The sequence below is a fragment of the Homo sapiens genome, chromosome 16 (genome assembly GCF_000001405.40).
Source record: "Homo sapiens chromosome 16, GRCh38.p14 Primary Assembly".
Classification (NCBI taxonomy): domain Eukaryota; kingdom Metazoa; phylum Chordata; class Mammalia; order Primates; family Hominidae; genus Homo; species Homo sapiens.
The window spans coordinates 27,221,912-27,241,217 of record NC_000016.10 but is presented as its reverse complement, the minus strand read 5'-3'; the positions used below and the strand labels follow the sequence as shown (position 1 = coordinate 27,241,217).

The following is a 19,306-nucleotide window of genomic DNA, read 5'->3' as shown; positions in this document are numbered from 1 at the left end:
AGACTTCCCAATTTCCTGTTGCCCAAGTGCACAGTGAATCCTAGGTTCCAGTAGCCTCTGGGAAGCAGGGACCCTGATATAGCAAGAAGAGGCTCATTGGTAACATTACATTCCAATGTAACTTAATCATTTCTTTCATTTTTTGAGAGATGGCCTAGCTCTGTCACCCAGGCTAGAATGCAGTGATGCGATCATAGCTCATTGCAGTCTCCAACTCCTGGGCTCAAGCTATCCTCCTGCCTCAGCCTCCCAAGTAGCTGAGACTATAGCCACATGCCACCATGCCTGGCTGATTTTTAAATTTTTTTGTAGAGATGAGCTCTTGATCCATTGCTCAGGCTTGTCTTGAACTCCTGGCCTCAAATGATCCTCCTGCCTTGGCCTTCCAAAGTACTGTGATTACAGGTGTAAGCCACCACACCTGGCCTTAAAATTTAATTTTAAAAGAAAAGGAGAAACTGTATACAGAATTAGTCCAAAACAAAATCTCTCAAGATGACTTGAGCCAACCCTTCTCCTTAGGGGAGAAGTGTCCTGTTTTGTTCAGTGCTTGTCACTTGCCTGGAGGCCCGTTTTCAATTGCCACCACTGATGGGCATTTCCTGTTAAAGGAAGAGTGGCTCTGTTCGCTCCAGGGTCTTTGCCTTTCCTCAGCTGCTCCTGCTGCCCTGCATGCTGTCCCTGCACGCTGGACCTGGCCCAGTGCTCAGGGCTGGGCCAAGGGGATGATGGATGCTGGGGTGGGCTGGGTTGAGGGGATGATGGATGCTGGGCTGAGCTGGGTTGAGGGGATGATGGATGCTGGGCTGGTCTGAGCTGAGGGGATGATGGATGCTGGGCTGGGCCAGGCCGGGCTGATCCAATGCATCTCCTCTGTGAGTGCAGCTCCTCTTTGGGTACCACCTCTGGTGTCCTAATCAGGTGCCCAGATGCCTTCCATCCTTCCCTGTTGGCCCAGTCTCTCTTGGTGACTCTGAAGCACAGGGCAGGTGCAGGAGGGTATAGACGAGATGACGGTGGGGTCTGGTATAGAGGATGTCCTCAGGCTTGTTCTGTGGAGCCCATGGGGCTTAGTGCCTGGGAGCTTAGGATCTGGGGTTGGGCAAGCCCGGGCTCCATTTCCTTCCAAGTTACGGAAACTATGAGCAAGTTGTTAACCTCTCCAAGCCTCCTGTATATACAGATGATACTAGTGATTTCATCTTACGGAGTTACTGTTATTGTCATGATGAAATGAACCATGTGAATGCATAGTGCTGGCACATAATAAGGTAATCATAGCCACACATTTGCAGGCCCCTTGATTTTAGCCTAACATGAGCTACTTTACTATAGCCCTTAAGAAATCCAGACACACCCTGCCTCTTCCAAGTAGAGAGAACACAGATAGCACTGTGTTTAGAGGTTTAGAGGTTCAACTTGCTTGATTTAAACATGTTGCTGGTTGTCCTGGCTAGGGTATCTCTTTCCCTCTAGAGGAGACATCTGTGCTAGGGCCAGGGCCTCGTTCCTCTGTCCTCATAGCTGGGCCTCCCATATCACTGACTGGAGGTTGGTGGTGTGCAGAGAACCAGCCTCTGATCCAGCGCTACCTACAGAAAACCTGATGTTTTGATATTTACTGAAGGTTGTGTCTTTTTCTTCAGTTGGTTCTGGATTCTGAAAAGGAGTGGTGTTGTTAATTAACTCCTAAGTCTTCAAAGTGGTATTTCTAAGACTGAAAGTAGTTGTCTCAGAATCTCACCATACGGACTTTATTCCGCACTCTTTATCATGACCATGGGCTCGTAGAATATTGAGGTCAAAAGGATCCTCAGACATGCCTTTAGCCCAGTGTATCCCTACAGATTGGCAAACTGTAGCTTCTCCACCAGGGCTCCTGGATCAGGGGAGAGACCAGGGGCAGAGCTGTGGACATTAGCTGTCCTGAAGACCTGAGGCTGGGAAGCAGCGATCTGGTGCAACCTTAGCGCTTAGTGGACATCATAAGGATCTTGGGAGCAAGCAAGAGACCCCAGTTCTGGTCAACTTAGAAAGGAATGTGTCGGGGCTGGGCACGGTGGCTCACGCCTGTAATCCCAAAACTTGGGGAGACAGGTGGGCAGATCACTTGAGGTCAGGAGTTTGAGACCAGACCAGCCAACATAGTGAAATCCCATCTCTACTAAAAATACAAAAAATTAGCCAGGTGTGGTGGTGAAACACCTGTAGTCCCAGTGCCTGGGGAGGCTGAGGCAGGAGGATCGCTTGAACCTGGGAGGTGGAGGTTGCTGTGAGCTGAGACTGTGCCACTGCACTCCAGCCTGGGCAATGGAGTGACACTCCATCTCAAAAAAAAAAAAAAATGTGTCGGGATGCTATTGGGGGAGGGACACATAGGACTCATTGGTGGCCAGGTGCACAGTTGGGGATAGGCAGGAAGCATGGCATCACCTCATGGCCAGAGCAGCTGGCCCTCTGTAGCTTCTGGGCTGGAGCCACCTCCAAGCTTCCTTTTGTCCCTTGCTCAGATTGGGAGAGTGTCTGGCTGATAGGGGTTCTCTGTCTACTCCTGGCTGCCCTAATCTCTGGTCCCTTCAGCTTTCTGCTTTCTGGTTCCCTGAATATCATACCTGGAATTATTCTCTCACCAAAACCGCAAATGTAAGAGAAAGACAATTGTAAAAAAAAAAAAAGAAAAAAGGCGAAGGTCTCGTTAGGGAGGGACATGGCTGCTGGGCTGGCAGGTGTCACCAGCTGACTCCTGTCTTGGGGCGGCGGCTGGACACAGTAACTGGAGTGCCACGTGATGAGGAAGGAAGTGCTGCCATGGGAGGACAGAGCTGGGAAGTGCAGCTTATCTGGTTGGGGAAGGCCTGTACGGGAGGCTGCCAGAGGATCAGGAGGCTGGGGTCCAGCCAGGGGTGGTGGTAGAGAAGCGGGAGGGAAGAGGGTTCTGGACATGTGTGAGGCTGGAGGCGAGACTGTGTGTGGCTGTTAGAGATGAGAAGTGGGGGAGAGGCTCACGCAGGGCCCCACAGAGCGGGAGGGCAGGATGGGCTAGAGCCCACACCTCTGCTTCTGGCCCCATGCCACCACGCCACCTCTGTTGCTGCTGAAAGGAGTCAGTTGAAGGGTTTGGGGGTGCTGAGTGTAAGAGAAGTTTCTTCTCAGGTCACGATTAAGAGGAGCTGCAAGGGCGCGGGGCCTCCGTGAGAAACAGTTACAGGGTCAGCGATGGAGATCGTGGACATGACCCTGATGCAGGAAGCGTGTGGAAGGAAAGAGGGCGATAGCGGAGAGAACGGGAGCGCCCAAGCAGTGGCTGGTGTGTGCAGTGAGCGAGTACAGTAGGAGGAAGTGGTTGGTCAGATGAAAATACAGCAAAACATTCATGGTTTCTGAAAAATGAGGCTGGACGCCAAACCAGAGGTGGTGTGGAGAGGGGAAGGGCAGAGAGGGCTGCTGGCTCCCTCCCTGCAACGGGGTGTCTGGAAAGTCCAATAGATCAGAATGCTTCTCATCTGCCCACAGGGCACATTGTTCTCAGTGATACCCAGGAGGGGCCTCGTTAGTGGAAAATGTGAATTGTCACTTTCAGAGAGGTGGGACTTGCCCCAGTGTCACACTGGGTGGACAGGGTTCCTGTCACTCACTCCGCACTGAACGAGGCTTTTTGATGTCTGGGCCTCTTGCACCTGAGCTGCCCAGCGTTGGCTCCCCTTGGGGGTGGAAAAGTGTGTCTGGCCAAGTCACTGGCACAGGCAGGTACGGAACAGCTCGGCTCCCACGCCAGCAAAGAGCTGCCTTGCATGCTGTGGAAGAGGAAGACAGCACCGGGGGCAGAAGAGAACATTTCCTGGAAAAACAGGCCATCCAAGGTGGCTGCCGCAGTGGAGGGAGAGGAGTTTTCAGAAAGGAGGGGCCCGTGAGCAGGGGCATGGAGGCAGGAAGTCAGGCCATGCCTCCCTCCTGATGCCTGCTCTCCAGCCGCCGAGGCCAGATGTCATTGTCATATGTTACGATCTCACCACATCCATGTTCCACCCACTTACTATGACTACTTTTTAATTTAAACTGCCTTTTAAAAACTTAACTGAAAGGGAAGATTAGCTCCTCGCTGAGCATGGCACATTAGTGTCACTGCCCTGGGCTTTGTTCTCAGCTTTTCTGGGCCCCACAGTCTGATCCTCTGACAGAGCTCATTGGCCTGGGTTTTCCTTGACTCTTTCACACGGCCACATCCTCCATTGTCACCAGCATGATCTTCTGTTGTTTTTTTTTTTAACTTTATGAATCTTGAGTTGTACGGGTAGCTTAGAAATGCCTCTGTCTAATAAGAAATCAAACACAGACATACAGCACGAGTGCCCTGTGATGACCCTTCGTTTAGTCCCTTCCTGGCGATGGCCTTGGTCGTCAGTCCAGTGGGTAACCTGCTGGGCCTTTTCCTGTGGGACTGTTTCATTGGTTCTGTTTTTGTTTCACACATGAATGTATCATATTGTCCATTTTTTCTTGCAGTTTTTTTTCCAGAATGATTTTCTAAGGCATGAATCTTTTGAAATTATTTATTTTAATACATAAAAACAGTAGTGAAAACAATAATACATACTCTTGCTTTAAAAAGTTTCACAGCACAAGCTGGGCGTGGTGGCTCACGCCTATAATCCCAGCACTTTGGGAAGCTGAGGTGGGCGGAACACTTGAGGTCAGGAGATCGAGACCAGCCTGGCCAACATGGTAAAACCCCATCTCTACTAAAAATACAAAAATTAGCTGGGTGTGGTGGTGCATGCCTGTAATCTCAACTCCTCGGGAGGCTAAGGCAGGAGAACTGCTTGAACCCGGGAGGTGGAGGTTGCAGTGAGCCAAGACTGTGCTACTGCACTCCAGCCAGGGCGAGAGCAAGACTCTGTCTCAAAAAAAAAAAAAAAAAAAAAAAAGTTTCACAGCATAAAAGGGACACAACGCTGGCCATGTCCTTCCACTGCTTCCAGTGCTCAGAGGCTTCCTGGTGCCACAGGAGAAAGGCCCTGCTGTCCCCGGCCACGGGCTCCTGTCCTCACCGCAGCCTCTCTGTCCTCCTCAGCTGAGCCCCCGGCAATAGTGTGGGTGCCCCCTCCTCAGACTGATGGACCTGGATGGTGGCCCCTGGGCTGTGAGCATCCTGCTGGCAGGGCCAGGGGAGGTGGGCGACAGAGAAGTCAAAGCCCCGGCCTTGTGGTGCAACTCTGGGCGAGTCAGTTCACCTCTCTGCGTCTCAGCCTCTTCCCCTGTGCCCAGAGAGCTGCTGGAGGGTGGATTCATGACGACAAAAGGTGCCCAGGACAGGGCCTCTCCATGCTGAGGGCTCGCTGCAAGCCACCCTTCTCACCCCGTTTGTTGTTATTCTTACTGTTCCAGCCCAGGACCCAGCACAAGCCTGGCATGTAAGTGAGGATAACCCGACATTGAATAAAAAGAGAAAGGAATAAAGCTCCACCTAAGATGTGTGGGGACATACAGGGACAGAGGCCTCTCGCGGGGCACTGGGGATGCGATAGAAGGGCTGAGATGGGATAGGATGTTTGTGCGGCGGGAGCTCACGCAGGCTCTGAGCACATCATTGAGTAATGCGCTGAAGGTGCTGATTGGGACTCTCATCAGGAGGCAGCGAGCAAAGACAGGAAGCCCGCGGCAGCCTCCGTGGTTGCAGATAGCATCTCCCTGGCCCTCCTGCCTCACAACGCCCTCCATCTGTTGTCTGTTTGTCTTCCAAGTACTCCAGGAAGAAAGAAGCCACGTGGCATTGGCGTTCACCCAAGAGGCTGCAGCCTCCACCCATGTCTGGGGTTGCTGTCCCCTGCGTTGAGATGGGATGGAATGATTCAAGCAAGCTACATTTTTTTGATGAGGCCCCCTGGTCACCCCCCTTTTTTTGGTCTGTTTATTTCCAGGCAATGCCACCGTAGATAAGTTGGAGGACTTCATCAACAACATTAACAGTGTCTTGGAGTCCTTGTATATTGAGATAAAGAGAGGAGTCACGGAAGATGATGGGAGACCCATTTATGCGTTGGTGAGTGCCCGGCAGAGCCCTCTAGTGGCATTTTTGAGGAGCTGGAACAGGGCCCAGGCAGCCTGTGTTTGCTTTGGTTTGATTTCTCTTTTGGACAGTTCTTTGCAAAGAAGTCACTCCAAATGTATAGAATATTAGGAATAAAGGGAGAAAATGGTTTTTTATTTAGAATAAGACATAGAAGCTATGAAAAGAAACTCTGTAGGAGTGTCAAGGATTGCAGGCCATGTGGGTGGGGCCTTCAGTGGTTTTCAGATTTACTCTCACAGGTAGGGATTTGGGCCTCATCCCTCCTGCCGCCGACTCCCCGTTCACCCACGTGATGTGTTCAGGATGCCACAGCCAGAATGGCAGAGCCAGGAGTGAAATACAGCCAGGGTGAAATACAGGAGTGGGAAGCTGACATGCCCCATCCCTGGCTAGGAGACACCTCAGCTGGTCAGAGGACATCTGGCTGCTCCCAGCCAGGCTCACACTCAGAAAGGGGCACTCTAGTCCAGGGTTGCCCAAACTCAATTCCCTGGAAAAAAAACATTACAGAGTCAAAGAACTGTGGAAATGCTGGTCAGACATGGCAAAGCAGATTTCCTTGCTATCAGACTTCTCAGTGCTTTTTTTGCATTTGAAGCTCCATTAACATGCAGACAAATCTCCCAAATTTATCTGAGTTTGGAAAATACTGCACACCCTTTGGAGTTCTGAAACTTCTGAGGGCCCAGCATGTTGGCTGAGCTAAAGAATAAAGTCTGTAATATACGCCTGGTTACAGATCCATCCCTGCGGCCCGCAGTGCCTGGATACAGGAGCTCAGTGACTGGCCAGAGATGGAGGAGGGGAGGGAGGGAGAGCCAGCGACACGTTAACCAACACGCAAAGAGCACAGCCTGACTGTCGTGCTGACTTATTTCTTAGGTGAATCTTGCTACAACTTCAATTTCCAAAATGGCTACGGATTTTGCAGAGAATGAACTGGATTTGTTTAGAAAGGCTGTAAGTAGAGTAATCCCCATTGCCCATTGGGTGGGCTTCTTATGGGAAAGTTCTGTCTCCGTCATTAGCAGTGGCAACTGCAGTGTTCAAGGATCACTGGGGGGACATGGGCCACCATTGCTGTCTGAGAAAAGGCTTTGCAGGGAGATGTCACTGTCTACCCATCTGGAACTCACAGCTGCCAGGGGGTCCCCATGGCTGCCTGAGAAGGAAGTGCTGGGCCAGGTGTGAGCCCCAACTGGATGGGCAAGAGCAGGGCTTCACTGGTAGTAACAGGCGTTCCTGCCTGGCTGCTCCAAGTGCCATCTGGGAAAGGCAGCAGCAGCAGCATCGCCTGGGAGCTTGTTAGAAAGGCCCGGTCCCAGTCCCCACTCTAGACTGCTGAGTCCGAATCTGCATTTTTGCCAGGTGCCCACTGAATCCTTTGCACGTGCACATTTGACAGGTACTGTTCTACCAGGCTTCAGAGCTATTTGCTCAGCCTTCTGCTCAAACACATGGCTAAGAGTGGTTCTCAGGCCTAGATGCAATGATAATAACTGCAGAGGTGAAAAATAATTCAGACATTTCAGCCCCACTCACGATCTGTTGAATCCAAATCTCTGAGAACCAGGCGGTGGAATCATTCCTTTTAGATCTTCTCCTGGGGATTATTAGCCACCAAGGTTGAGGAGCAGGTGCTGAGCTGAGCACACACCTGCGTGTGCAGGAACCTGTCTTCCCCAGCGGTTCCTGCCTGCCGTGTCTCTCTCTCACTGCCTCCGAGGCCAGCCGTGAGGCAAGGCGACCCTCTTTGATTTGGGGACATTAAGATGATTTATTTGGGAGGATGTTATAGAAGTGACCTCTGAGTCAAAAGAACTGAGCACAGTCCTGGCTCTTGATGCACATTAAATTGTTTTCCCGGAATACCATGCCAGTGTACAGTTCTGCCTGTGATCTGAGTGGTTTTACTGTGCCTCTGCCAGACTTGGTATTACCATTTAAAAGTTATTTTTGCCATTTTAATAGATGAGCATGATACCTGCTCTTTCTTCCAGCTGGAACTGATTATTGACTCAGAAACCGGCTTTGCGTCTTCCACAAACATATTGAACCTGGTTGATCAACTTAAAGGCAAGAAGATGAGGAAGAAGGAAGCGGAGCAGGTGCTGCAGAAGTTTGTTCAAAACAAGTGGCTGATTGAGGTACTGTCTCATGGTTTTTCCAGCCTGGTTCACTTTTTCAAGTGAATAACAGTTTTTTCTCCAAAATCGTACTTGTAGCCAACTGATGTCTGAGGAGCCCGGCCTTCTCGGATCCCTTATCTGCTTTCATGCATTCCAGCAGTGACCCCGTGGGGAGGACTTGGGCCTCACTCCTCCTGCCTCCCACTCCCCGTTCACCCAGATGATGTGTTCAGGATGCCACAGCCAGAATGGCAGAGCCAGGAGCCGCGCCCAGGGACTTGGGCCCCAGGATCAAGGCTCTAGCCCACAGACTGCAAGGCAGGGCAGTTCCGTGGCTGAGAGTGTGGCTCTAACATCTAACCCGGGTCTGAACCCTGAGCCAGGTGACCTCATGTTCCTTGTAAGAGGGGAGTCGTTGTTTCCCCTTCGGGGCTGGGTGTGTCAGGAGCGGGAATGGGACCTCACAGTAATGTGCTCGGTGCTAGGCTGGCTGGCTCGCGGGGGAGGCGGCAGAGGAATTGGTGACATTACCACTGTTGTTTTTGTCAGCAGTGAGTTCCTCAGGGCCAGTGCTTAGAAGAGGCATAGACCTGCTTCAGGAAAGGAGCTGTGACATCTGGGACAGGCCCCACTGCAGCTCCAGTTTCTAGATGTTGCCCCCACCCCCACGTCTAGTCCTGCTGAATGGAGCAGAACAAATGTTTCAGTTCTTTTTCCACAAAAGGCACCCCTGTTTTCAACAGCTCAGTGTTTGCCGAGTTGACCACAGCTGTGCCTCCCAGGTGCTTGTGCCCATGTGTGTTGAGGACGCACTCACGCCGGGTCCCCGCTTCCTCACTTGGTGGTCGGACTCGTGGCCAGAGGCTGCTGCTTGTGGCTGCAGCGATTCTCCGCTTCCTTTTCAGGAAGGCTCGCGTCTGGGTTGGGGAAGTCTGTGTTCTGAGTTACTGATTTCTATTTAGGGTGGGCCTGTCCCAGGAACCTGACCCGAATTCAGTTCCTGGGGTACCTGATGGGAAGACAGGGTGGAGAGGTCATGGGGTGAGGGCAGGGCTGGGAGCTCCTGGTGAGTGCAGGATCTGCTGGGCGCGTTCCCGTATGTCATGTCTTGGAGGCTGTCTGCTGCCCTGCAGTGGCTCCATAGCTTAGTTTTTAGCTGACAGCTCAGGGGTCTGGATGACGTCGGACACCCTGAGAGTGGCAGGGCCGAGTTCAGGCCCCGGTTTGGGGACTGCAGCTCCCATCAATGGCTTTGTCACAGTTGTTCTTGCCCTCCAGGCTGTATTTGGCACTAGGGAATGTTCTAGGGCTACTCAGGTTATAACTGACCATTCTCGCTTGTGGTGCAGCCCCTCTTCAGGCCAATTTTTTTTTTTTTTTTAAGATGGAGTTTTGCTCTTGTTGCCCAGGCTGGAGTGCAATGGTGCAATCTTGGCTCACCGCAACCTCAACCTCCCGGATTCAAGCGATTCTCCTGCCTCAGCCTCCCAAGTAGCTGGAATCACAAGCATGCGCCATCACACCCGGCTAATTTTTCTATTTTTAGTAGAGACGGGGTTCCTCCATGTTGACCAGGCTGGTCTCGAACTCCTGACCTCAGGTGATCCGCCTGCCTCAGCCTCCCAAAGTGCTGGGATGACAGGCGTGAGCCAGCGTGCCCGGCCACAGGCCAAGTTTTTTAAGGGTAGGGGTTATGACCTCTTCATGGCTGGTCCCCATTGCAGAATGTAGTGCCTGGCACCTCAACTGCTCAATAAATGCTTGCTGAATGGATGACTGGACAGGTGGATGAGGTTGCAGAGGAACAGCATTTAAAACTTACAAAAAATGTTACAGGAAATATCTGCTCATTACAGGAGGATTAGAACATGTTGAGATGCATAAAGAAACCCACTGAAGTCACCTGTTATCCCAGACCCTAGAGCCGAGTGCCCCAACATCCCAGTACACAACACTTTGCACCCTGCTTTGCACCCAAGAGCACCATGCCTAGCACATGCTGCCACCATTGTGCATGGCTTGCAGGGCGTGCCCCCAGCTTTATGGTTTGACTTGCCCTTTGTCTGCCCTTGGTGTCTGGAGAGGGCGGTGGTGGATAGGAGAGGCCCCGCCCTGGAGTCTGTGGCGGTGAGCTGTGGCTGCAGGCGCTTGTACTCTGTGCCTTTCTCAGTTCGGTGGCAGTGCTGGCACCACCTTCTGCAGGGCGCCTCTGAGCTCGAGGGAGGGTGGACAGAGGATCCGGGAGCTGCCACCTGCAGGAGCGCTGCAGAAGTAGCAGGGGGCCCTCAGCACTGGCGCTGGGCAGTAGCCCTAGAGAGGCTTCTTGTTGACTGCCTGGCCTGCTGGGGCCCTCAGGAGGACGAAGGAACGAAGCTAATGTGGCAGGGGCTGTGTGGTGAGACTCCTCCAGGTTCCTCCGCTGCCTGTGGTGAGCAGCTTCTCGTTGCGGAGACTGTTTCCTCATCTGCAGGATGGGGACATTGCCAGCTCCAGGTGTTTTCTGTGAGGGTCCAGTGCTCTCTGACCTACATGGCCTGGTAAGGGTTGCCTTGAGGTCTGCGGCACTCTGGAGGAATCACTGAGAACCGGGGCGGGTGCTCACTTACCCAGGACAGGTCTTCCTAGGGCAGCACCTCGATCAGAGAGACCACATGTCAGTGTCTGATCCTTGGCCTCTCAGACACAGGGCTTCCCACAGAAATAGCCAGGGGCCCACTGACAAGGCCCTTCCAGGTGGGTATATCACCCCAAGGACACGTCACTCCTGGACAGCCAGTCCTGTGTGAGACTGGCCCGGCATGGAGGTGCTGAGGCAGCTGTCCGTCCAGGAGAAGGCCCAGGGGTGGTAGGTGGTTGGGGTCAGCGGGGAGGCCTCTGAGAGCAAGCGCGGCTCATGGGAGCTGGGCGTCTGCTGATCGGCGCACCTCCATACACCCCAGGACTGCTCCCTACACGAGGTCCTGACTTCCAAGTGTTGTGGCGAGGCGCCTGGGAGATCACCTGGGCTGTCGTCGTCTTTGAGGGCTAGGGCATCCCTCCTGCCCCTCCCCTGATGGGCCCTCAGAGGACTGAGTGGGTCATGAATGGTGAGCCTTGGGTGCAGTTTCAGGCACATAGCAGGTGTTCAGTAAATGCAGCTTGGCTGGGTGCAGTGGCTCAAACCTGTAATTCCAGCATTTTGGGAGGCCAAGGCGGGTAGATCACTTGAAGTCAGGAGTTTGAGACCAGCCTGGCCGATATGGTGAAACCCTGTCTCTACTAAAAATATAAAAAAGTTAGCTGGGTGTGGTGGCGGGCATCTGTAATCCCAGGTACTCGGGAAGCTGAGGCAGAAGAATCGCTTGAACCCTGGAAGCAGAGGTTGCAGTGAGCTGAGATCGTGCCATTGCATGATCTAGCCTGGGCAACAAGAGCGAAACTCTGTCTCAAATAAATAAATAAAAAATAAATGCAGCTCCTGCCTCAGTCTGAGCTTGAACTTGCTTAGTGTCAGGCATTCCTTTGGGATCAGTGCAAGGTCTACTTCATCTTCCCGTGGGTGTTTATCACAGGCCTGCCAAGTGCTGGGCCCCACAGCAGGTGCTGCGGACACAGGAGTGAGCACAGCCAGAGCTGGTGGCCGCTCCCATGGGGCCATGGTCTGGAGGGGGAGCCCGAGATCAGTGAGACGGTCATCTCACTGCAGTCCTGGTACAGATGGAAAGGAAACATGGCTTTATGACAGCTGTCCCAGAGGAACCGGCCCTCAGCTGCTGAGGAAGTGACACTTGAGCTGAAGGCTGTGTGGGAGTTGCCTGGAGCCTGGGGTGGGAGGATCATCAGCCCGGCAGTGGCCCTGTGGCCAGCAGGTGCACTCAAGAAGCTAAGGCCAGGGCCATCTGAGCACAAAGATTGCGAGGCGAGCAGACGGAGGGCAGCCCGGGAGATACGCGTATTAGGGGCTTGGCTCTTGGACCTAAGGGTGGTGGGAAGCCCTGGGGTGGGGGTGAGTTGGGAGTGACAGGGCCAGGCTTGTTCGGTAGCGAGTGCGTTGCTGGAGGAGAGTGGGCTCAGAGAGCAGCAGGAGCAGGGGAGGGTGGAAGAGGGTGGAGGCCGGGGAGGTGGGTTGCCATGATGGATCTGTAGGGGAGGGTGGAAGAGGGCGGTGGCCGGGGATGTGGGGTACCATGATGCATCTGGAGGGGAGGGCGGAAGAGGGCGGTGGTTGGGGGTGTGGGGTGCCATGATGGATCTGGAGGGGAGGGTGGAAGAGGGTGAGGGCTGGAGAGGTGGAGTACCATGATGGATCTGGAGGGGAGGGTGGAAGAGGGTGGTGGCTGGGGATGTGGGGTGCTGTGATGGATCTGGAGGGGAGGGTGGAAGAGGGTGGGGGCTGGAGAGGTGGGGTACCATGATGGATCTGGAGGGGAGGGTGGAAGAGGGTGGTGGCTGGGGATGTGGGGTGCTGTGATGGATCTGGAGGGGAGGGTGGAAGAGGGTGGGGGCCAAGGAGGTGGGGTGCCGTGATGGATCTGGAGGGGAGGCTGGAAGAGGGCGGTGGCCAGGGAGGTGGGGTGCCATGATGGATTTGGGAGCTTTGGGGGAAGGTAACAGCCATAGGACTGAGGACCGAGGACAGCCTGGGGGCTGGTCACATCCTCCCATTGCCCACAGCACTTGGATGACACAAAGCCCCTGTGCACCAGCAACAGCTGCGGTGCAGGGCACAAGCACCTGGTGCCCCGGCCTCCCTCCACTGTTCCCGCAGCGGCTGTCCATGCCCCAACCCCACGCTTCTGCCCTGCCTTCCTTCCTGTGCTCACCCAGCTCCTCTACTGGTGTTCCAGAGCGAACGCACTGTGAGCCCAGATTACGCAAGCACACCCCTCCACATTGCACTGTGGGGATGAAGGTGGGAATGGGGTGGGGGGCTCTACCTGTCAGAAACGGGAGTGGGCTGGGTGCGGTGACTCACGCCTGCAATCCCAGCACTTTGGAAGGCCGAGGTGGGCGGATCACCTGAGGTCGGGAGTTCAAGACCAGCCTGGCTAACATGGTGAAACCCTGTCTCTACTAAAAATACAAAATTAGCCAGGCGTGGTGGCGCATGCCTGTAATCCCAGCTACTCAGGAGGCTGAGGCAGGAGAATTGCTTGAACCCGGGATGCGGAAGTTGCATTGAGCCAAGATTGTGCCATTGCATTCCACCCTGGGCAACAAGAGCAAAACTCCATCTCAAAAAAAAAAAAAAAAAAAGAAAAGAAAAGAAACGGGAGTGACAGCTCTTGCTTGTAAAAATTAAAAATTAGAAAATAACAGAAAAGGCAGTTGAGCACTCGGGTGACTTGCAGGCGTCAGTGACGTCATCTCCTGGTGTGGTTCATATCCGATGCATGAGCTGACTGTGGAGAAACTGGAATCAGCCTGCATGGGTCCATGTCCTGGGTCCCGTGTCATTTGCCTGCCTTGGGTCTCCCTCAGTGCTGCCTTTCTCCTGTGACCTGGCAGTAGGGTCGGCCTGGGGAGCTGCATTGTTCTTGTGCTTCCGGGCTCTCCCAGGGATTTCAGGATGCATGATGGGTGGACCGCACCCTGGCATGGGAACCAGGAGGCCTGGCTTCCACTGGAGGCTCCACTGCCCACAGTGTGATGGGGCCTGTCTGCCCTCTCCAGACTCCTTCCAGCTCCATCTGTAAAGTGATGTGGCTGGAAGTGATCTCTGAGGGTCCCTACTGCAGTTGGAGGCAGAAGTGCTGGGAGGCAGAAGTGCTGGGAGGCACCAGGGATGCTGCTTTTTGGGAGTGGGATGGGTGGCGGATGGCAGCAGTGGGTGTTTGGGTTTGCACCCTGGGGAGACTGACCCCCTTGTGGGCCTCAGCGTCCTCATCTGCAGGAGGGCTGTGACTGCCTCCCTCGAGGCTGCCGTGCAGACAGAGAAGTCACGTCTGAAGGCACAGCAGATGCTGAGAAAAGGCGGGTGTCAGGGAGCCACGCCTCCATGTCTTTAGGGTCTTTGCCTCAGTTTCCCTTGCCGAGGCTCTGCCAGGGGGATGTGGCTGATGCCCGTTGGCTGGGGTTGGTGAAAAGCTGCGTAGACCCTTGTGTCTTCCTGAGCACTGGGCTGTGGGATCACAGAGGGAAGAGAGGTGGTGAATGGGGAGAGGGCCTGGCTGAGGGTGGCCACCTCCTGTGTGTCCCTGCAGAAGGAAGGGGAGTTCACCCTGCACGGCCGGGCCATCCTGGAGATGGAGCAATACATCCGGGAGACGTACCCCGACGCGGTGAAGATCTGCAATATCTGTCACAGCCTCCTCATCCAGGTACCCGCAGGGCAGGGCACGGGAGCTCATCACTGGGCCCTCGGCTCCCGGGGCTCTGTACAGGTACTTCCCGGAATCCTGGCTCTGGGCCCAGCCCTCCTGCACTGCTGGCGCATCCTCCCACAAGAGCTGGCGGAGGCCATCTCCCAGGACGTGTCAGGACGCCTCCCTGCTGTGCCCCGCAGGGACGCACTGCCGCCCTCCTCCCTGGTTCTGCTGTTGGGGTCCAAGGGCCCTCGCTTACTTTATTTTTCTCAGGAAGGCTGAGTGTTCTGTGCAACCTGCATCATCTTGGTAGTTTTGTAGTGAGTGTCTCTTGTCGATTGCTGCTTTCTGGAGTGGTCTTAACACTGGTTTGCAGGGCTTTGCAACCGCTGAACCAGCGTGGACATTGATGTGTCTTTCAGTTTCTATCGTTTTGCAGCTGTAGCTGTTTGTAATTGCAATTGCTCTTACGGGCCTCGTACACCTGTATCCTTGGGCACCTGGTGATTATTTCCTTGGGCGGAGTTTCTGGGACAAAGTGCACTTTTTTTTTGAAAGCTTTTGATTCACATTAGCAAATAAGCTTCTGAAAAGCTGTGGCTGTCCACACGCCACCTGCAGGATCTGAGTGCAGGAGTTTGGGAGCCCTCGGCTTCTGTCACTGCGTTCATGTGTTCAGAATTGTTTAGTAAAACCCACCGCAACAAGCAGCAAGCAAACAAAAGACTCCACTGCACTAAGGCGTTTGGGATTATTTTCAATATTAATCTGGGGCCCAGAAGATAACACGATGCCACCTGCTGCCCATTTCCCTTGTGGCTTCCCCGGAGGTTTGCAGAACATGGAGGTGTGCACCAGCTCCGCCGTCATTGGCCTTTCCTGTTTCAGGGTCAAAGCTGCGAAACCTGTGGGATCAGGATGCACTTACCCTGCGTGGCCAAGTACTTCCAGTCGAATGCTGAACCGCGCTGCCCCCACTGCAACGACTACTGGCCCCACGAGATCCCAAGTGCGTGGGCCCTGAGGAGCTCATGGGAGGGGCTGGGCCAGCAGGACGTGGGGCCTGGTGCCAGGGAAGCCCTTGGAGACAGGGCCCTGAAGGGCTCCAGGGTGTGTGGGGGTCCGTGTTAGCAGCTTGAATCCTAGAAGAAGCCACTGCAGGAAGTAAAGGCTGAGCTACGTGCACCGCTCCAGAGGACTTTCTAGAACCCAGCTGAAATTCCAACGTGTATGAGCATTTTGTCTAGACAAGGCTCTCTCTCTGGCAGCCCTCTCAGGAGGGGGACGTGAAAGCTATGTCCACAGCTCCCTCAGTTTGTTCCTCTCTGAACTGGGGCTAACTCTGCCTTCCTCACGGGCTGGGGAGGGTTAGCAGTGAAGGATGGTGTAGACCTAGGACAGTCCTTGGCACAGGAGACGTAGCTGCTGGCTCCAGCTGGTGCCCCTGTGCTGCCAGCCCCTCCATTCACTGTGTCTTTCCTGCCTTTTCTGTCTACAGAAGTCTTCGACCCTGAGAAGGAGAGGGAGTCTGGTGTCTTGAAATCGAACAAAAAGTCCCTGCGGTCCAGGCAGCATTAGCCATCGTGCCCTGCTGAGGGGCTGGCTGCCTTGAGTGGCCTGATCGCCACAGCCCTTCTTGGAAGAAAGGCGTCCGTGTTTCAGGTTCCACGCGAGTCACCTCTTTCGTCTTAATGTTCACCGTCCACAGCTTTGGAATAAACCATCCTGGGAAGTTGCTGCAGCCCGTCTGTGTTCTCGAGCCCGTGTGTGAGGCTCCGTGTTGGGGCCTTGCCTTTCCTGGAGTTCGGTCGTCACTCAGACCCCCTGGGTTTGGGCTCCAGCAGGTGAAGCCAGCAAGAGCCCCCAGCAATGACTCAGAACAGCTCACTGTCCTTGCCCAGGGCAGCCTTGCCTCCAGTCCCAGCGGTGGCCAGCTGTCCCAGCAGGACTGGGCTGGCCCGAACCTGGATGTGTGAGCCTTGGCCTCCCCAGCTCCCCAGTCTGGACTCTCCCCTGGCCCAAGGTGCCACTGGCCTGAATGGGCTGAGGCTGGGCGTTTGGGCGGGATGCGTGCTCTCCCTCCCTGGACGCTCTGCTCCCTGTGGGTGCCCGGCAGCCCTGCCATCCAGCTGTCCCAGCCGGGACTGGGAGTCAGCCTCAGTGCTTCCTCTCCCTGACCCTCCTGCATCCCATTGTCACCAGATCCTGTCCAGCCCAGCTGCCAATAGCCCTCTAGCCCTGCCACTGCTGCCTCAGGCTGAGCTCCAGCCCCGGCCCACACTCTGCCTCTGTGCTCCCTGCAGAAGACCCCTGGATGCCCCCACTGCTGCAGCAGGGCTGTGACCCCTGGTGAGGCTCCTGCTCATCTGCCACCGCCTCCCCCCACCCACTGCTCAGGGTGCAGCGCTTCCTTCGTCAGCTCCGGAGCCTCTACACAGAGCGCCCTGGGCCTGCGCGCCCTCCCCTCTGGTGTCTGGCTTTGTTTCCTGGCTAGCACCCGCTCGCCCTTTGGCACTGGTCAGCCCCTCGCTCCCTGCACTTCCTCCATCCTCACACTTGTTAAGTCCCCATCTTCATCCCTCTCTTGAACCCCAGCATCAGTCAGGATGCTTCAGTCATGACAGAAAAGCCAACTCAGACTGGCTGAAACAAGGACGGACTTGGCCACAGGGGTCTTGAGGAGATGCCTGGTCTAGAGGCTCCAGCAAGGTCACCACACAGCCATATTTCTGTGTCTACTGTGCTTTCACTGGGCTGGCTGCATGCTTGGGGCCTACGAGGTGGTTTCCTAGAAATCCAGCTGCCTTCTTCATGGTAGCAAAATAGCTGCCATGCCTCTGGGCCTCGCGCATCATGCCTGGGATCAGGAGGAAGAGGGTGGCTCTCACTTAGTGGCTCCCACATCCTTGCAAGCATCCTCATGGCCCACAGCTCCCACGTGGACACCTGTGAGGTGGGGATGGGATTATCCAGCTGGCATTGGAAAATTAGACCCACCTCGGAGAGAGGGGTGGGACTGTCCCTCTCAGGCCACGTGGCTGAGGGAGCAGGGGCCTTTCCCTAAGCATATCGAAGGTGCGATCACATCTTCAGTAGCCTCAGGGGCAGCAGGGAGTGAACTTGGACACTGAATTGGTGGCTGGCCTCCCCCGCTGCAGGCAGGACCACCCCACTTTGTTCACCTCCATAAACCCAGGGTGGAGCAGGCATCCAAGGCTCAGTGAACCAATGACCCCTGCTGGTGGGAGGCTCACCCTCCCAGAACCAGGTCTGGGCTCCTCAGCCCTCAAGCCCACCTTCCCATAGTGAGGCAGCCGGGGACCCAGCCCAGCCCTTCGTCAGTGGGCAGAGACACGCCCATTGGTAAGCCCAGTACGTTCAGCCACTGCCAGCCCCGGCCGGCCTCACCTAAAGAGGGGTTTTTTGGAAACGTATGAGGTGGCTTGCAGAAATGACAGGAAGGCAGGACCAGTCTAGAATGGGAGACCTTGGAATAAGGGTCATGGATGTCAAGACAATTCTGTCACTGCGGGCGCTGCTGCCACAGGGGGTCGGCTCCAGCCTGTCTGAGCTCCTCCCGACACGCCCTCAAGATGCCGGTCCAGGGAGGAGCTGATGTACAGACCTTCCAGGACCGCATCCCTGGGGCAGAGGTCATTCTCCAGAATGCAGTCAGCTTGCCGTTCTGGAAGACGGGAAGATGGACGCCAGAAGGCAAAAAGCCAACTAGCAAATAATGCCTGCAGGAGGGGCCGGGGCAGCTCCGGACTGTCCCAGTTGTCCTGTGGTTCTGGCTGTTCATTCTTTGAGCTCGAGTCAGTCCTGGCTGGGGACTCAGGAAGCCTCTGGGCACTTGGCCACTGGGGACACCAGCCCTCCTGCTGCTTGTCTCTCTTGCCTCCAACCCCTGCATGATAACACCGACATGAACGTCCCACAACGCACACTAGCACTCACTCAAAACCCTCATGAGGAGTTCCAGATGCTGCGTGTCCTCACCCACAGGGCAGGACATTTCCCCTTTTCCCATTCCTCATCTGACAAGGGACATCTGCTTGAAGCCACCTGGCCAGGATACCACACGTTAATGAACGTGGCCTCCCGTGCCCAGCTTTCTGTCACGCTACACTACAGATGGGCCGTGGGGCTTGCCAGCTGGAGCGGCTAGGCACTGGGAGCTGGGGCCACAGTCCACCTGTCCTTCAGCTGGGGAAGGGGTTTGAGTTACACAGGCGGGCCAGGAGTCACAGCCCACTGTGGCCGGGCCGCCACCCCTCCTCACTAATGGCGAACCTAGTCATGAGGGCGTCCCTGTTTTATGCCTCGCTACTTTCAGGGGTGTTGACATCTGGTGTAAATTCTTCCTGTGAAAGATTAGGTAATTCACTATTAACCATGGCAGGGAATAAACAATGTCCTTGCAAACAGCTGCCCACGGAGCCAAGTGGACTCAGCTTCCAGATAGCTCTTGTGTTTGTCACTCCCCAGCACGCCCATGGCCCCTCGGCAGCCCACTCCCAGGATGAGTATCACGGCCTCTCCCTGCCAACAGCCAGCTTTCGAGAATGCAGATTCTGCTGTGTCTGCTCAAAGGCTGAGAACCCCAGGACCTACACGATAAAGTCAAATTCCTTGGCCTGGGTAGAGGGCATCAGGAGCTGGAGTTCAGCTGCCCACAGCCACTTTCCCATCCCCCTTCTAGTTACCCCAGGGTAGCTACCTCCTGGCCAACCAGAATCTTTCCTGGGGCTGCTTGATTTTTGGCTAAAAGACAAGCAGCTGAGCCAGTGGCAGGATGCTGGCAGGATGGCAGCTCAACCCTC

The 19,306-nt window shown here is 55.0% G+C and overlaps 1 protein-coding gene across 4 annotated transcripts in view, besides 8 other annotated features; it reads left to right on the top strand.

The window, feature by feature from the left end:
• Positions 1-16,224, top strand: part of NSMCE1 (NSE1 component of SMC5/6 complex) — a 43,779-nt gene extending 27,555 nt beyond the window's left edge. For all 4 annotated transcript variants that reach the window (NM_145080.4, XM_006721023.5, XM_047433772.1 and 1 more), the window contains 6 exons: positions 5,919-6,040; positions 6,953-7,030; positions 8,071-8,217; positions 14,382-14,498; positions 15,372-15,492; positions 15,982-16,224. In NM_145080.4, the coding sequence (NP_659547.2) occupies positions 5,919-6,040; positions 6,953-7,030; positions 8,071-8,217; positions 14,382-14,498; positions 15,372-15,492; positions 15,982-16,061 (665 nt within the window). In that variant the 3' untranslated portion in view covers positions 16,062-16,224. The remainder of the gene's footprint in view (positions 1-5,918; positions 6,041-6,952; positions 7,031-8,070; positions 8,218-14,381; positions 14,499-15,371; positions 15,493-15,981) is intronic.
• Positions 2,676-2,970: an enhancer, noted in NCBI's record as "tiled region #5139; K562 Activating DNase matched - State 8:EnhW". NCBI's record gives its function as "activates a minimal TATA promoter and a strong SV40 promoter by Sharpr-MPRA in K562 cells {active_cell/tissue: K562}" and the evidence as "EXISTENCE:reporter gene assay evidence [ECO:0000049][PMID:27701403]".
• Positions 3,374-3,493: an enhancer, noted in NCBI's record as "active region_10614". NCBI's record gives its function as "activates an Ori minimal core promoter by ATAC-STARR-seq in GM12878 lymphoblastoid cells {active_cell/tissue: GM12878}" and the evidence as "EXISTENCE:reporter gene assay evidence [ECO:0000049][PMID:35858748]".
• Positions 3,844-3,913: an enhancer, noted in NCBI's record as "active region_10613". NCBI's record gives its function as "activates an Ori minimal core promoter by ATAC-STARR-seq in GM12878 lymphoblastoid cells {active_cell/tissue: GM12878}" and the evidence as "EXISTENCE:reporter gene assay evidence [ECO:0000049][PMID:35858748]".
• Positions 4,834-5,358: an enhancer, noted in NCBI's record as "H3K27ac-H3K4me1 hESC enhancer chr16:27247181-27247705 (GRCh37/hg19 assembly coordinates)". NCBI's record gives its function as "activates a minimal SCP1, AML or CMV promoter by ChIP-STARR-seq in naive H9 embryonic stem cells {active_cell/tissue: H9 hESC(naive)}" and the evidence as "EXISTENCE:reporter gene assay evidence [ECO:0000049][PMID:30033119]".
• Positions 5,539-5,628: an enhancer, noted in NCBI's record as "active region_10612". NCBI's record gives its function as "activates an Ori minimal core promoter by ATAC-STARR-seq in GM12878 lymphoblastoid cells {active_cell/tissue: GM12878}" and the evidence as "EXISTENCE:reporter gene assay evidence [ECO:0000049][PMID:35858748]".
• Positions 8,749-8,798: a silencer, noted in NCBI's record as "silent region_7298". NCBI's record gives its function as "represses an Ori minimal core promoter by ATAC-STARR-seq in GM12878 lymphoblastoid cells {active_cell/tissue: GM12878}" and the evidence as "EXISTENCE:reporter gene assay evidence [ECO:0000049][PMID:35858748]".
• Positions 8,979-9,078: an enhancer, noted in NCBI's record as "active region_10611". NCBI's record gives its function as "activates an Ori minimal core promoter by ATAC-STARR-seq in GM12878 lymphoblastoid cells {active_cell/tissue: GM12878}" and the evidence as "EXISTENCE:reporter gene assay evidence [ECO:0000049][PMID:35858748]".
• Positions 18,138-18,823: an enhancer, noted in NCBI's record as "H3K4me1 hESC enhancer chr16:27233716-27234401 (GRCh37/hg19 assembly coordinates)". NCBI's record gives its function as "activates a minimal SCP1, AML or CMV promoter by ChIP-STARR-seq in naive H9 embryonic stem cells {active_cell/tissue: H9 hESC(naive)}" and the evidence as "EXISTENCE:reporter gene assay evidence [ECO:0000049][PMID:30033119]".